Consider the following 16725-nt stretch of genomic DNA (forward strand, 5'->3'; position numbering starts at 1 on the left):
TCAGGAATCTGGGCACAGGTTAGCTGACTCAGTTCAGGGTCTCACAAGTGTGAAATCAAGATGTCATCTGGGTCTTAGGTCTTATCTGAGACTTGAAGTCCTCTTCCAAGCTCTTATGGTTTTTTGCAAACTTGAGGGTTTTTTTTTTATTTATTTTTATTTTTATTTTTATTTTTTTTTGTGGTTTTAGAACTGAGTCCCTCAGCTCCTAGAGGTTGATGGCCATTCCCTGTCACATGGCTGTCTCCATGACATGGCACTTTCTTGTTGAAAGCCAAAAGGAAATAATCTCTGCTACTTCTTTCCTCTAACCTTTTCTATCTCTAACCTCTAGAACCTTTTTTAAAAGACCACCTGATTAGGCTGGGCCCAACCAGGATAATTTCCCTTTTGATTAACTTAAAGGCACCTGATTAGTGGCCTTAATCACACCTACAAAATCCTTCTATCTTTGTTATATAATATAACCTAATCATGGGCATGATATCTACCATATTTATAGGCCCCACCCAAACTTAAAAGAAGACAATTCTACAGGGTGTGGACACAAGGGAGTGGAAGTCTTGGGGCCCATCTCAGAATTTTTACCACTTACAGATGGATTTTTAGAAGCAGGATGATTGATTCCCAGTGGTTAAGTATTTTAAAGGCTATATATTGAGAAATTGCTTTCCAGTAAAACTGTACTAATATTCACTCCCATCATCAGATTATCAGCATACTTGTTTTACTATATCCATATTGACATAATAGTCATTTAAATAACTTTGATTACTATTTTCCTTTCTCTATAATTATATATGTATGAATATACAAAATTACAATCATGGCATTTTTGTGTGAGAAAATTTTATTTTTATTTGACAAATTATTTTAGTATATGCTTTTATTTACTATCAGTTTTATGATTGTAATATTTAGTGACTGTATGTCTTCTAGGTATTACCTATTCACTTGATTTGTTCATTTTCTATATTCATTCCCTTTGCTAATTTTCCCAATAGATTTGTAAGCATTCTTTATATTATATGGGCACTAGCCTATTGATGTGTATGTTGGAAATATGTTTGCTAATTTATATTTGACTTTTAACTTTCCCTATACAATTTATATTTTTATGTTCTAAAAAACACAATAAATATTCCATTTGAATTTTGACTAGAAGTGCATATTCCCATTTTGGAAAAATTTGACATTTTATGCCAAAATTGATAAAGTAGTCAATATTTTAATCCTGGAGCATATTATTTGCATGAATTTATAATGGAATAAAGTTTTCTAACTTCTTGTCACCATACCCTACTACTAATAAAAATTTTACATTTCTCTCTTTCTAATATTTACAGTCACTGCCTAGGAATTCCAGATCAAAGCTAAATGAAAATAGTAACATTAACTATCCTTGCCCTCATTCTTTATATTAGTTTAAAGCACTTCGTCAGTTTAAAAAGAAAAAGGTTTTCTATATTTTTATAGCCATAACCATGATTTTCTATTCCTTGGACCAAACTCTGTTTCTTGAAAGTTTGGAAGTACTCATCTGTATTGTTTTCTTCAATTAACATTTTTGGAGTTTATACTTTAATAGCATTTTGAGATTTTAAACGGTTTTGGGTTTACTCGTAATTTTCTTCTGTTTAATGAATTTTAGTTATTTTTATCCCCAATCATCCATTCTGTAAAATTTACAAATTTAGTAAAATTCAGTGTTCTAAATATTTTATGTCATTGTATATTTTATAACTTCTTCAGTTCTAATTTTGTTTATATCATTGCTCTTTTTTTTCTTAATAGATTAGAGGGAAGTTTCATCAACTCTTTGTAATACAAAACCGGTTTTGACAGTCTGTTCTTTAAGCACTATTGGTTTTTAACCTCCTGAAGCATATAGTCAGGACATCTTGAGAGTCAAACCAACCCTTTCCTTACCAGATTCCTGTACAACTTTTCAGCTTCACCTGGTGCCACCCAGTAGGTGTGCCAATTATCCCATAGTAACTGCGCTTACTGCTCCAGTAGTCTATAGGTTTGCAAGACATTCCACAGCATTTTGTGTTAGATTGCTCCACAGTGAACTCCACAGTGTTTAATTCTCGGGACAATATTTAAATAAGGCACAGATGCATTTTGGATAAGATTATTTGACTGCTGCGTATAGTATTCTTCATCACCTTGTAGGGTAATCTGCCAAGAAGCGTATGACTTCAGATTTTTATTGATAACTTTGGTTTTTTAGTCATATTGTGAATTAGCTTTTGGAGATCAGTTTAGAAGCTTGGTTGTAAGATTTGGAAGGTCAACATTCCCTTGTCAGAGAAGCGCTATAGGAATAAATGGTCTTCTGTTTAGAATTGTGTTAAAAAGAAAACAAGCAAATTCCCACAGAGTTTTGTCAGGGCCAATTTAGAAAAAAATTATCTTGGTGACCTAAAACTTGTTTTCGATGATCTAAATGTATCCCCCTCCCTACTCCCCAACTCATATTGAATAGATTGTCAAGTATTTAGCTTTATTTTCATCAGTGGTTTTCCAAATGGACCATGCACTCTTTCTGTCCTACTCTACCTGTAATCTCTTGCCCACCATTTATTTAACCCTTTCTACCTTAGTCATTAATGAACTCCCTCTTCTGCTTCCAAAGTCAGCCCAATGCCACCCTCTTCTGTGAATGTTTTCATGACCTATCCAGGCTGCACTGAGCACTTTCCATGGATTCTTGAGAAGTCGTCTCTCATAACATGTATCCCTTTGCTAAAATTGTTGATTTCCATGTCTCTCTTCCATGTAATCCTTGCCACAGTGACCATTTCCTAATCATTTTGTACCTCAGTATTTAGAACAGCATCTGCATCATGATAGGCACTCCATAATTAAAAAAACAAATGTATACATAACTTTATAATTTGTGTTTAATTTCCTCAAGGTAGTAGCCAAAGCTTATGATTTAGACACAAGTTTCCCTGTGACTAATTGTAAATATTGTGCCTTTTAGTAACTTATGGTTGCAGAGTATCTAAGAGCTTCTGTTTATCCTCTCCCCAGGAAATCTATCTCATAACATGCATCGCTTTGTGTAAATTGAACTCTTGGAAAAATACTTTATCCGTGTCAGGCACAAATGGATACTTCAATTTTTGATTAGAGTGAAAAATGGTTGCTTTAATCTTGAATATAGTAATGGCAAAACTTTAAATATTAAGTAAAATATAGTGAATCATTTTTTTAGCATAGGTAATTACTACATACAAGCCAGGAGTGGAAAGAAGGCATAAGAAAAGAGCTAGCATTAGAAAATGTCTATAATTAAATGTCATTGTTAAACACTAATAGTCACCATAAAGACAAGTATTTTATTTAAGGCTTATGAAACTTTGAAGTAGGTATTTGCTACCTCAACATGTTGAGGAAAAGTAGGTAAAAACTGAAATAAATATGGCAGATACTTATGTCCATGCTTTGTAGGTGAGAAAACTGGGGCTTATAAAGATGAAGTAACTTGCTTACCTTAACATACAGTAAGGCCAATAATCCAGGTTTTTCTGATTCTAAAGCGTATTCTCCCTGCTTTATAGTTAAGAATAAAACAAATGAGTGCAGCTTCCCTCCCTTTCACTTCCAAATTTACCTTTATATTCACCCATTTGTACTTTATTTTCTACCTATAAAAGGAGTCTCAACTTCCCCATACTAATATCTCTTCCTTCTAGATTCTCTTCTTTCCTCTGAATCTCTTTTGCCTCAGTTTACATATGTCATCCAGAATTCCCCAGTTAATCCTCAACTTCTCTACCCTGAATTGTGGATTCCACATCCACATTCAAAACACATTGTTGCTTGTTTTGAATGTTGTTTTTGAAAAACATTCAAAAACAAGCAGATGAAACCTAGTTTCCACCTTGGACTCTTTTGATTATGCCCACTTATACTCCTATTTGTGTAATGAAAAGACTGGTCATTAGCATCTTAACTCTGATACCAGTTGTCTTTTTTATTTCGAGACAGGATCTCACTCTGTTGCCCAGGCTAGAGTGTAGTGAAATAATCACTGCTCACTCCAGCCTCAACCTCTGGGGCTTAAGTGATCCACCCGCCTCAGCCTCCCCAGTACCTGGGACTACAGCATGTGCTACCACACCTGGCTAATTTTTAAATTTTTTTGTAGAGATGGTGGTCTTACTGTGGTGCACAGACTGGTCTTGAACTCCTGGGCCCAAATGATCCTCCTGCCTTGACCTCCCAAAATGTTAGGATTACAGGCGTGAGCCACCAACGCTGGCCCAGATGTCTTTTTTTATTCTCACAATACACAAACTCTCCTGATTGTATCCTTAAATATCCTTGCTTGCTTATTTTACCCAGTATTTTCTGATTCACACTCCCTCTGTGGCTTGCTTTTCTCACTTTTTCTCCCTCTTGATTCATTTTGCCTGTCCTATAAATATTTGTAAGCCCCAGGGTGGATAATGTGAGCCTTCTTCTCTTCTTTATCTGTACTTCCTTCTTGTTTTTCCTAATACATGTTCTTAACTTCAGCTACAGTTACAGTGTTGTGTTATCTTCCATCTCTCTACTAAGCTCCTGGCTAATATTTTAATAAACTACATGAAAGTTTTAACAGGGCCAGTCTAATTAAATAGGTAAGCATTTGTTTCCTTTATTGGTTTGTGAGCCTTTTTGATTAGACTCCATTGCATTGTCTTTGTGTCCCCACTACATCATAGCAAAACATCTTGTAACTAGTGTATGCTCAATAAGGGTTTATCAAATGATGGGTTTAAATATCAAAATTGAACTGCATATAATAGCAACCATATCCAGTCTTTCATTCATTTATTTTTTTCCAGCTAGTATTCATTGAGCATTGGAAATTAAAAGTTGCATAAAACTCACATTTACCCTTCAAGGCCTTCCAGTCAAGTAGAAAACTGGGATACACAGAAAACTTGATAGGGAAAGGATGTGAATATTAGTAGTATGAATTAATTGGTAGTACTTACAATAATAATAAAAGTAATAACAATTAACTGCAATAACAACAATAAAAACAGAAGCTTTGCCTGTAATCTCAGCACTTTGGGAGGCCAAGGCAGGCAGATCAGTTGAGGTCAGGAGTTCGAGACCAGCCTGCCCAACATAGTGAAACCCCATCTCTACTAAAAATACAAAAATTAGCCGAGTATGGTGGTGGGCGCCTGTAATCCCAGCTACTTGGGAGGCTGAAAGAGGAGAGTCATTTGAACCCAGGAGGCAGCGGTTGCAGTGAGCCGAGATCGCGCCACTGCACTCCAGCCTGAACGACAGAGAGAGACTCTGTCTCAAAAACAAACAAACAAACAAAAATCCCGGAAGCTTTGATTTGTTGTTCTTTCAATGTGCCAGTGCTGTTCTAAGCACTATGCTATATATACTATTATAATACTTACTTTGCAAATAAAGAAACTAGTCACAGAGAGGTTATTTGTTCCAAATCACAGTTTATAGGTGGCAAAGCTGGGATATATAGACTTTCTGCTCTTAACCATTGTGATATGCTCATTCTGCATAAGGTTTAGTAGTGGTTTATGTGAAGCCAAATGGTGAATGGTATTGACAGGAAACAGGCAACTGGTTTCAGGTCCATTTATCCAGAAATTGAGGCCTCTTGAAATTAGTTCACCAATAGTATAAGCAATAAGAAAATATGTGAGAACCTCACTAAATGATTATGTACAGTTTGTATTGCTATTTCTGGGTGCAAATTTTGATTATGCAACAAGGATAGCAAAACTTGGATGTCTATGGCTAGATACATTTAATCTGTTTTGCAATTTAAGACACAATAAACTTCCTCAAAGAAGTTTGTAAAGATTATTATAGATTGACCAAGATGTTAAGTCTGTGAAATTCTATGGATTTCTTTTTGTGTTCCCTAATACATAAAGTTTCAAGAGATTCAGTTAAGGATCTTGATATTACCAAATTGATGCTTTCCACACATATTAATTTTAAGAAATAGAATTGCAAACTAGCCTATATGCTTTATAGAAATGAAATGAGTAAGGAAATAGTATTTTGAACAGGAGTAAAGTAATAAGATAGTTGAGCTGAAAGGTCTTGCAGTGTATAGTTGGGTCCTGGAGTTTCTTGGGCAGTGCTGATTAAACTTACACAGAGAAGAACTGATTCTCACAGCTAACCTGAAGGCTGAAGGTGTCAACTTGAAGATTTCCTGCAGCTCCAGTTAGTGTGGTGGCTGGGAAATGGTATTCGGGTTTTAGGAATGCATGACTCAGATTTGTACTTTAATGTGGCAGTTCATCAGATGTGTCTGATGAATCAGCTCTTTGGATTAGGTTTCATTTATGTCTTTATGTAAACTTAAGGTCTTTGGATAGAAAACTTAAACAGATTGTCATCCCTTAAAGGTGCCGCCATTAAAATAGATTATTTTCCATGCTATTACAAATTCACTGATTTTCTGAATAAAATGGTGATGGTGACACCTTGCCACAGGTGAATGGATTTTGCTTTTGTTTTGTGAATTAAAATGTGTTTTAACAGACTTATTAATATGAGTAAATTAATCAATTAAAACCATTCAGAAGTATCTGAATGAGGCTCTGGGAGAACCCAAAATGTGATAGTTTTGGCATTTTCATCTTTAATAAAGTTATAGTGATTGAGAGCTGGATTGATCAGTCCTCAAGTGTCTTGCAAAGAAAGGTGTCCTGTCATAAGTTTACAATATATTTGAACTGTGTTCTGATTTCCCACTTTTTGAAAGTCGGTCTTTCAGCTCCACTATCTCAGTCTTATACAAAAAGAAAAGAAGCAGAGAGTAGAATGGTGGTGGCCAAGGGCTGGGACAGGATGGGGAAAAATGGGGAGATGTTGGTCAGAGGGTACAAACTTGCAGATATACAATGAGTACATTCTGGGGATCTAATGTACAGCATGTTGACTATAATTAATGATACTACATTGTATACTTAAAATTTTTTGAGAGTAGATCTTAAGTCTTACCACACACAAAAATATAACAACTGTATCAGTTGAAGTATGTGTTAGCTAACTTTATAGTGGTAATCATTTCACAATATATATGCATATCAAAACACACTGTACATTTTAAACATATCCAACTTTGTGAATTATACCTCAATAAAGCTGAGACACAGAAGGATGATTTTCTGAGGAAGACAATGTTCGTTTATTTAATTTCAAATGAAATATTTCTCCTTTAGAAATCCAAACACACTAGGTTAGTGTCCCTTCTTATATTCCTCTGCAAGCCTTATAATAGAAAGAAATGATTTTTGGGTAGTTTCGTTGAGTGTTGTTTCTTCTTCTTCTTTCTTCTTTCTTCTTCTTCCTTTGTTGCTTAGGCTGTAGTACAGTGACACAATCTCAGCTCACTGCAGCCTTGACCTCCCAGGCTCAAGCCATCCTCCTACATCAGCCTCCCAAGTAGCTGGGCCTACAGGTGCACTCCACCACGCCCAGCTATTTTTTTTTTTTTTTGTAGTGATGGGGGTTTTGCCATGTTGCCCAGGCTGGTCTCAAACTCCTGGGCTCAAGGGATCTACCCGCTTCAGCCTCCCAAAGTGCTGAGATTACAGTCATGAGCCACTGTGCCTGGCCAGAGTATACATTCTTTTAATAAAAACAAAAGTCTTAAAATTATCTTACAATATCTTTTAGAGGTTTTTGAAAGAAAATTATAAAATCACGATTAAATATTTTGAGGCAGACAGCTTATGATTTAATCTCTGTTGGAAAGAATGACACTGAATAAAACCACATTCTATTGCAGCATGGAATGTTAAAAATGTCAGTTTGGATGATTTTTATTAAGATAAATTGTTAGTGAAATAATTCTTTTGACGGGATTGTTTCCATTTATTTAAATACAACTAGGGCGTTTAAATAAAAAATCCAAAACCTCAAGTGAACATAAGATTTTAAAGCATTTTGGGGGTGAGGGCTATGGAGGCATAATTTTGGTATTACCAGTTTCGATTTAACTTAGGAACCACAACATATGGGAAAATATAATAGAAATCCTGGTTATATTCTTTCCTTTTGTGTAATTCATTGCACCGATCATGTTTGATCAAAGTTATGAAACTCTAATAATATTGCTATCTATTTTTAAAACATGTATGTTTTTCTTCTTTTTAATCTTTGCTTTAGGGAACGGCCTTTAAGAGCTGGAAGATGAAAGCTCCGATTCCACACTTGATTCTCTTATACGCTACTTTTACTCAGAGTTTGAAGGTTGTGACCAAAAGAGGCTCCGGTAAGCAGTATTCCTCTATTTTTTATGTGTTTTTATAGCTTAAAGTGATAGTGCTACATCTACACATGTGCCATTAGTGGAAAAGTTGAGAATGATCAGTTATCAATATTGTGGAGATATTGTAGATATTATGAGTAAATAGGTGGAGCACACTCATAGGGAATTAGGAAAGTGAGAGTGGATTCAAAAGAATGTGGCTTATTTTATCGATTACTATGAATTGGCATGGATTCAATAGCAAAGCCTTGTATTTAGATTTCATTTTGTGGTAGGATTTTAAGTATTCTTATATAAACAGTGTTATTTAATTTTTTGCATGGAAATATTATTGTATCTTTGATGTTAACTTTTATTGTTACCATTTTGATGTCAGCTATACTTAGGGAAGATTCTTTTCAGGGTTGTACTCCAGCTGATTTGATGAATTGCTTGGAAGTATATAAAGAAAATACTAGTGTTATTGAAGAAAATGTCATGAGGAAGCACTAATATTTTAATAGGAAATATAGAGGTAAAGTAGGATGGTAATGAAAGGAACTACTAAATAGATTAATGTTGGCATTTATGAAAAACTTTACATGTTATCAGGCATCTTGGTTTGTAGTGGACTGTTGATAGTTCAATTGTATGGGACAATTGAATAAATACCATTATCAATGTGAAGTTGTATCTTGTCTAGTAAGTCACTAATAATATAAAGCCTTGCCATGCTCACACTATGTGGAGTCACATAATTTTTGAAGTTATAGCTTTTAGGTATGAAGGAAGATGAAGGGTATTGTGTTTTGTTGCTAGAATTAGAATGTATTGTCTGTTAGTTCTAGAGAGCCTGTGGGAAAAAGAAGATGAGATAATGTACAAGAGGTTGCAGTGTTGTGATATAAGCAATTGCATGGACAAAAGCATCTTTGGAGTTCAGAAAGGAAAGGGAATGAAAGGGCTGAGATGGGGCTGTGAAGCAAACATCTTAACCATGAGGTTAAAAGGCTTCAAACTCACTTTGATGATATAACGAAAAAGCCCACATGCAGGGGAAATAGGGAGCAGCTCTGCTCTCGTGAGCCCCTCCTGGGGATAAAGTCTGAAGGGAAACTGGGGAGGGCATTGTGCATGGACAAAGGTTTGGTGCATGGTTGAAAGTTAAAAAAAAATACTGAGACTGTTGGTTCTAGCATATTTGGTTATTATACAGCTGTTGTATCTGCCATTGATGTGGTTATAGGCAACGTGAAAAAAATACTGTTGTTATGTCTACACATTATTTCATCTCTTCTTCTCAGTGGATCTTCTGAATGAGATAAAACCCTAGGGCAGGATTATGATGTTGTGGTTTATGTAATTCAAATGGGTTAATGGGAAATAACATATATCTTGATTTCTTTAATTGTACTATGCTCAAGTACAATTGAGCATAACCAAGAGAGTTAGAGTAGGTAGAAAGAGGGGTAAATAGTGATGAAAGCTGATAATTTTTACAACACTGATGTTTTCTGGAATAGAAATTTACATTAAAATCACTTAAGATAGGTTTTTGAGATAGTAGCTATATATAAGAGAAACACTCATTTGTGTAAGTATTATAACAAAATGACAATAGTTCATCCAAAATAGAAATATTGATTAATTCTTTAAAACTTTATTTTTCTGGTTATTACCACTAATTATATAAAATCTGTTTTTTTTTCAGTTCTTTCTGTGTATGTCAGATCTATGATTTATTTATTCAAATAGAAATGTTACTCCTTTTTAATCATAAAGTAATGGTGATAGGTCCATTCTATATAACCTCTAATTTGGGGGCAAGAAATTTTATCAAACTGGGACTTACTTTGTGTGTTTGAGAAGCATGAGAGCAGAGCTAGAAACATGGGGCAGTTGGAAAATGCAAATTTAATATAAATGCAAATATTAAAATGTCTCAAAAATCTATATTAAGTGATTTTAATGTAAATTCCTATTCTAGAAAACGTCATTGTTGTAAAAATTTTCTGCTCTAAAGACCTGAGAAAACTCAAGAATCTGTCTCAAATTCAGTTTTATTTTAATTTTGTAATTATTTGAGAAGAATGGTAATAAGATGCTGTGCTAAGCTAAGCAGAAGTTCTGAGACCTTTCTCTCTTCAGTTTATGAATGCAGTTGTCACGTAATTATATAATACCTTCTAAACCAAATGTGTTTTCTATATTATAATGTAAAAATGACAAGGCAGGTACTGGGATTTTGCAGCATGCCTGATTTGTTTACTTTTCTATATGATGTGAATTAACATACCTTCCTTCCCCTAGTGTCTATATTAAGATCCAGATGGATGGAGGCTTGTTTGTTTGTTTGATTTTTGGATATTAAGTGTGCACTTTGGGAAGGAATAATATTATTCTATCCACATACTTTCATAGCTTGGACTGATTTCAGCTGATGTCTGTTCCTGTGGCACCTTTGTTTGAAGGAAGCAGATATGTAGCTTACTGAATAGTGTCATTACTCATCTCCATACATCAAGTAGAAGAGGAGTGTAGTTGGCATCTTTTCCTTGAAAGATTAATAGCTCAATCTTCATACCCAGCCCAACCTATAAAACCAGCAGCACCATGGCCAGGGGATAAAAATCAATTTTTGATGTTTGATTTTACGTATTAACCAAGAGGACTTCTTATCTTTCTTCTTTTGTCTTATCATTTAATTCTCTTTTGATTCTTTATTTTATTCATCTTTTTGAAAGGTCAGTAAACATGACTCAAAACCCAATGCTTTTCATGTGTCTTTTACTAGAATATTATTTTTAGTTCACTGTGACCACTAGAAAACCAGAACTAGATATTTTAATAATTAGGAACATATACAATATTATATTACACAGAGAAATATTGATTTTTAATGGCATGTTAATTTTGTAGAGTGTTTACTTTAGATTAACACATATGGTCATTCCATAAAAGTAGATATTGTTTTCTCATTAACAGAACTAATTTGAAAGCAATAGGAGGTCTTATTACACAAGCTGGAAATGCATTATTTTTATCACATTGGCTTACAGTCCCATCGCTGTTAATTTAAGGAACAGATTAAATATAATAAGGCAGGCCGGGCGCGTTGGCTCACGCCTGTAATCCCAGCACTTTGGGAGGCCGAGGCGGGCAGATCACGAGGTCAGGAGATCGAGACCATCCTGGCTAACACAGTGAAACCCCGTCTCTACTAAAAATACAAAAAAATTAGCCGGGCGTGGTGGCGGGTGCTTGTAGTCCCAGCTACTTGGGAGGCTGAGGCAGGAGAATGGCGTGAACCCGGGAGGTGGAGCTCGCAGTGAGTCGAGATCACGCCACTGCACTCCAGCCTGGGCGACAGAGCAAGACTCCATCTCAAAAAAAAAAAAAAAAAAAAAAAAAAAAAATATATATATATATATATATATATATATATATATAAAAAATAAGGCAATTATATCATTATAACATTCTTGATTGAAATATTAAAATGCAACTTTATAACATTTTGTTTTAAATATCACTTCAGATATGTACAATATGTATGACAACTAAGGACTATATCTGGTCTCTCAGGTAAAGTCCTAAAGTTGTGCCTACATTTAGAATGAAGACTTTTAATATCTATGGAAGCACATATTCAGCATTCGTTACACAATAGATTTTATCCTGGGACAATTTCATACCTATTTTTTTTAGTTTTTATAAGTAGCACTTGATGAAAGAGGCTAAGATGACCAATATTACCAATCCCCGTCAAGCATGTGAAATATTATAGCAATTCAGTAAGTAAACATCTCGGTTGCTGTCATTTTTAGAATTCTGAAAAAAAATCCCCCACATGTAAAGCAAACGCTTGCTTGGAGAATCTTTGTATCTCAACCAGTTGAGGAAATTTAGCTTTACATTCTTGTTTGTTGGTCCCTTTCTTCATTCCTTCCTCCCTTCTTTCCCTTTTTGTTCTTTCCTTCCTTCCTTCCTTTCTTCCTCCCTTCCTTCTTCTCTGCTAGTATATTTATCTGCAAATAAAAATAATTTATTTTCATATTCCCACTGTGTCTTGGTAGGACTTTTCAAACTATAAAAATATTATTATTACTTTGTCTGCATGGTTGAAGTATTTGAAATATTCTATCTTTACAAGGCCATTCAAAGAGGTTAGCATAGTCTTTGTTAATAATAGCTATTCTTAAATATATACATTTTAAAATGGTGTATAAGAAAATCTGCAGTAAGATTTGGGAGCAGGGAAATAGTATAAATAGTTGAAGGACTGTTATGGACAAAGTATGACTATAGCACTTTGCGGGGACTAAAGTGTGAGTTGTAATTTGCCTGAAAAGTTTGGGATACTGAAGAAAAATGAAGCTAGAGGGGTCTGGATGTAGAAATTAGGTAAGAGAAGGGGTTCCATGATGTTTTTCTCTCAAAAACATCCTCAGAATATAAGATGGTGAGTGCAAGGACCATGATTAATGTATGCTTATAATCTCTACAGTGCCAAATATGCTGTTTCAGAGTCAGGGTTCAAGGAAATGTCTTAATGACTTAATGACTTAATGACTGCATGAATGGTTGAGTGAGTGGTTTTAATAATCAGAGTTACATCAGTGAGGATGCTACAGGACCAAAACGATATTAGAAAGATAAAGGTAAAATTAAATAGAGGCATTTAAGAAAAATGATTTTTTTTTCTTAAAGAGCAATCAGTATAATGTATAATGTGAGACTACTGAAGCAAAAGATATAACCCGGAATAAGCAATATCTAGGACATAATAAGGGTTTAGATGAAGACAATGAACCTTTACAAATGGGGAGTGTTTTCATGGGCTTGAAATGCAGTTCAAAATCTGTTAAAGGGTAAGGAAAATGATTCTTCGAGTATTTTTCTATTGGAATTCTACTACGTTTAGTGCCGCTTTAAAGAAGTACTAATGTCATTGTGCAGAATTTTGAATTTAATGGTATTGTTCCATAATGGCCATTATGAAAAGGCTGTAGCTCATGATTACTAATACAGGATAAATAAGCAAGTGACTTCAGTATAGGAAAAAAGTATTCACAGTTATTAGACCATATGGAGAAGAGTAAGTGGCTGCATTACCAAAAAGCACGTTATTTTAGGAGGAATTTCATCTATATAAAAGCTCCCTAAAGCATCCAGCTATTAGAGAGTAAAAGGGTTACCAAAAGGAGTTGATCTTCTCTTCATTCTAGAACCTGACAGGGGACACCTGTTTGTGTAAATGATTTAGATGCAATTCTTCTAGACAGCAAGAGGAAGGCAAGCCTCAAAAGGTTTTCCTAAACTTGTGACTCTAGGCCCAAATAATTTATAAAAGGTAAGAGTAGTCAAATAACCAAAGACACAGTTTCAGTTCTAATTTTTGTGTTGTTATGTATGGATATTCATTTAAGTAAAAGAAATTATACTACTGTGTAAAGAAAGCGAGATTTAACTGAATAGGAATGAGAAAGTCTAGTGGGGGTACTTCCATCTCATGTCAATGTGATTTATGTGCAGCTGCTCTCTTGAGCATTCCTGTAAGTCAATGAGCTTAATTTCACATGATTAAGAGACAACCTAGTCCCCCAGCATCTGCCTTTTATTATGTTACCATGTGTTTATTCTCAGTTTGTCAAATATGTCAAAAAAGATAAGGTGTTTCTCCTTATTTTCCTTTGGGGTAGCTTATAAGACCAAACTTCTGGGACTTTGTTTCTTTACCTTTTGAAGTTAAAAAAAATGCACTTTAATTTTTTCTCAGGAAAAAAAATTCTCCTATTTATTGTAATTTTTACAAATTTTGAAATTAGATCTAGAGTAATTTTAATATTCCTTTGAAATTATGTCCTTAAATAAAATAATAAGTCTAATAAAAATGGAACTTGCACCTAACAAACAAAATAAAATTAGCCAATGTCTTTGTTTAGTTATATCTATGTTCTGTTATACCTATATTCTGTTATACCTATGAATTTCCCCACAAACTTACCCATTCAGTTTTAGTTGTCAGTATAATTTTATATAGAGTTGGCACAGATGAATACCAATTGTGGAAAATGATGCCTGCTTCATGGTGAGTTAAGGATAAAAGGCAGTATGAATGAATCTTCCAAGTTGACTAAGACTTCAATGAGGAGGAGAATATTCCAAGTTAATAAGTATAGTATTCCAAGTTAATCCAACTTATTAACTTGGAATTCAAACTAATTAACTTGGAATATTATTATTATTAGTTGTATTAGTATTCCAACTTATTAACTTGTATTCCAACTTATTACTTATTATTGCTTATAATAAGTAATAATATTCAAAGTATCATAAGTATATAAGTGTGGTACTGTATTATGAGGGTACAAAATAATATATTGTTCTATGTATTTGATGGGAGAGGTGAGGAATAGAGGGAAGCAGTATAGAAGCTGGCAAATGGTAGGCAATATAAGTTTGTTAGAGAAATGATGTTCGTATTATTCCATTTTCATGCTGCTGATAAAGACATACCTGAGACTGGGCAATTTATAAAATAAAGAGGTTTAATTGGGCTTTCCATATGGCTGGGGAAGCCTCACAATCATGGCGGAAGGCAAGGAGAAGCAAGTCATGTCTTACATGGATGGCAGCAGGCAAAAAGAGAGCTTGTGCAGGGAAATTCCCGTTTTCAAAACCATCAGATCTTGTAGGACTCATTCACTCTCATGAGAACAGTGCAGGAAAGGTCTGCCCCCATAATTTAATCACCTCCCACTGGGTTCCTCCCATGACAGGTGGGAATTGTGGGAGTTACAGTTTAAGGTGAGAGTTGGGTGGGGACACAACCAAACCATATCATTCCACCCCGGCCCCTCCCAGATTTCATGTCCTCACATTTCAAAACCAGTCATGCCATCACAACAGTCCCCCAAAGTCTTCACTCATTTCAGCATTAACTCAGAAGTCCACAGTCCAATGTCTCATTTGAGACAAGTCAAGTCCCTTCGGCCTATGAGCCTGTAAAATCAAAAACAAGTTAGTTACTTCCTAGATACAATGGGGGTACAAGCATTGGGTAAATACAGGCATTCCAAATGGGAGAAATTGGCCAAAACAAAGGGACTACAGGCCCCATGCAAGTCCAAAATCTAGCAGGGCAGTCAAATCTTAAAGCTTCAAAATGATCTCTTTTGACTCCATGTCTTGCTCATCTGGGTCATGCTGATGGAAGAGGTGGGTTCCCATGGTCTTGACAGCTCTACCCCCGTGGCTTTGCAGGGTACAGCCTCCCTCCCAGCTGCTTTCACGGGCTAGTGTTGAGTGTCTGTGGCTTTTCCAGGCACACAATGCAAGCTGTCGGTGGGTCTACCATTCTGGAGTCTTGAGGATGGTGGCCCCCTTCTTACAGCTCCACTAGGCAGTGCCCCAGTAGGGACTCTGTGCGGGGGCTCTGGCCCCACATTTCTCTTCTGCATTGCCCTAGCAATGATTCTCCATGAGAGCCCCACCCTTACACCAAACTTCTGCCTGGGCATCCAGGCATTTCCATACATTTTCTGAAATCTAGGTGGAGGTCACCAAACTTCAATTCTTGACTTCCGTGCACTGCCAGGCTCAACACCATGTGGAAGCCACCAAGGCTTGGGGCTTGTACCCTCTGAAGCAACAGCCTGAGCTCTGTGTTGGTCCCTTTCAGCCACAGCTGGAGCAGCTGGGACATAGGGCACCAGGTCCCTAGACTGCACACAGCAGGAGGACCCTGGGCCCAGCCCATGAAATCACATTTTCCTCCTAAACCTCTGGGCCTATGATGGTGGGGGACTGCTATGAAAACCTCTGACATACCCTGGAGACATTTTCCCCACTGTCTCGGGGATTAACATTCGGTTCCTCATTACTTATGCAAATTTCTGCAGCCAGCTTGAATTTCTCCTCAAAAAATGGGATTTTCTTTTCTATCACATTGTCAGGCTGCAAATTTTCCAAACTTTTATGCTCTGCTTCCCTCATAAAACTGAATGCCTTTAACAGCACCCAAGTCACCTCTTGAACACTTTGCTGCTTAGAAATTTCTTCCGCTAGATACCCTAAATCATCTCTCTCAAGTTCAAAGTTCTACAAATCTCTAGGGCAGGGGCAAAATGCTGCCAGTCTCTTTGCTAAAACATAACAAGAGTCACCTTTGCTCCAGTTCCCAACAAGTTCCTCATCTCCATCTCAGAACGCCTCAGCCCGGACCTTATTGTTCATATCACTGTCAGCATTTTTGTCAAAGTCATTCAGCAAGTCTCTAGGAAGTTCTAAACTTTCCCACCTTTTCCTGTCTTCTTCTGAATCCTCCAAACTGTTCCAACCTCTGCCTGTTACCCAGTTCCAAAGTCGCTTCTGCATTTTCCGGTATCTTTTCAGCAATGCCCTACTCCTGGTACCAATTTACTGTGTTAGCCTGTTTTCATGCTGCTGATAAGGACATACCTGAGACC

General features: G+C 35.9%; 1 protein-coding gene across 2 annotated transcripts in view; it reads left to right on the forward strand.

Moving 5' to 3' along the window:
* The window catches only part of IL1RAPL1 (interleukin 1 receptor accessory protein like 1), a 1369273-nt gene that overhangs the window by 193702 nt on the left and 1158846 nt on the right, over positions 1 to 16725 (forward strand). For both annotated transcript variants that reach the window (NM_014271.4, XM_017029240.2), the window contains exon 2: positions 8173 to 8278. In NM_014271.4, coding sequence (NP_055086.1) covers positions 8197 to 8278 — 82 coding nt within the window. In that variant the 5' untranslated portion in view covers positions 8173 to 8196. The remainder of the gene's footprint in view (positions 1 to 8172; positions 8279 to 16725) is intronic.

Source organism: Homo sapiens, chromosome X (genome assembly GCF_000001405.40).
Source record: "Homo sapiens chromosome X, GRCh38.p14 Primary Assembly".
Taxonomy (NCBI): domain Eukaryota; kingdom Metazoa; phylum Chordata; class Mammalia; order Primates; family Hominidae; genus Homo; species Homo sapiens.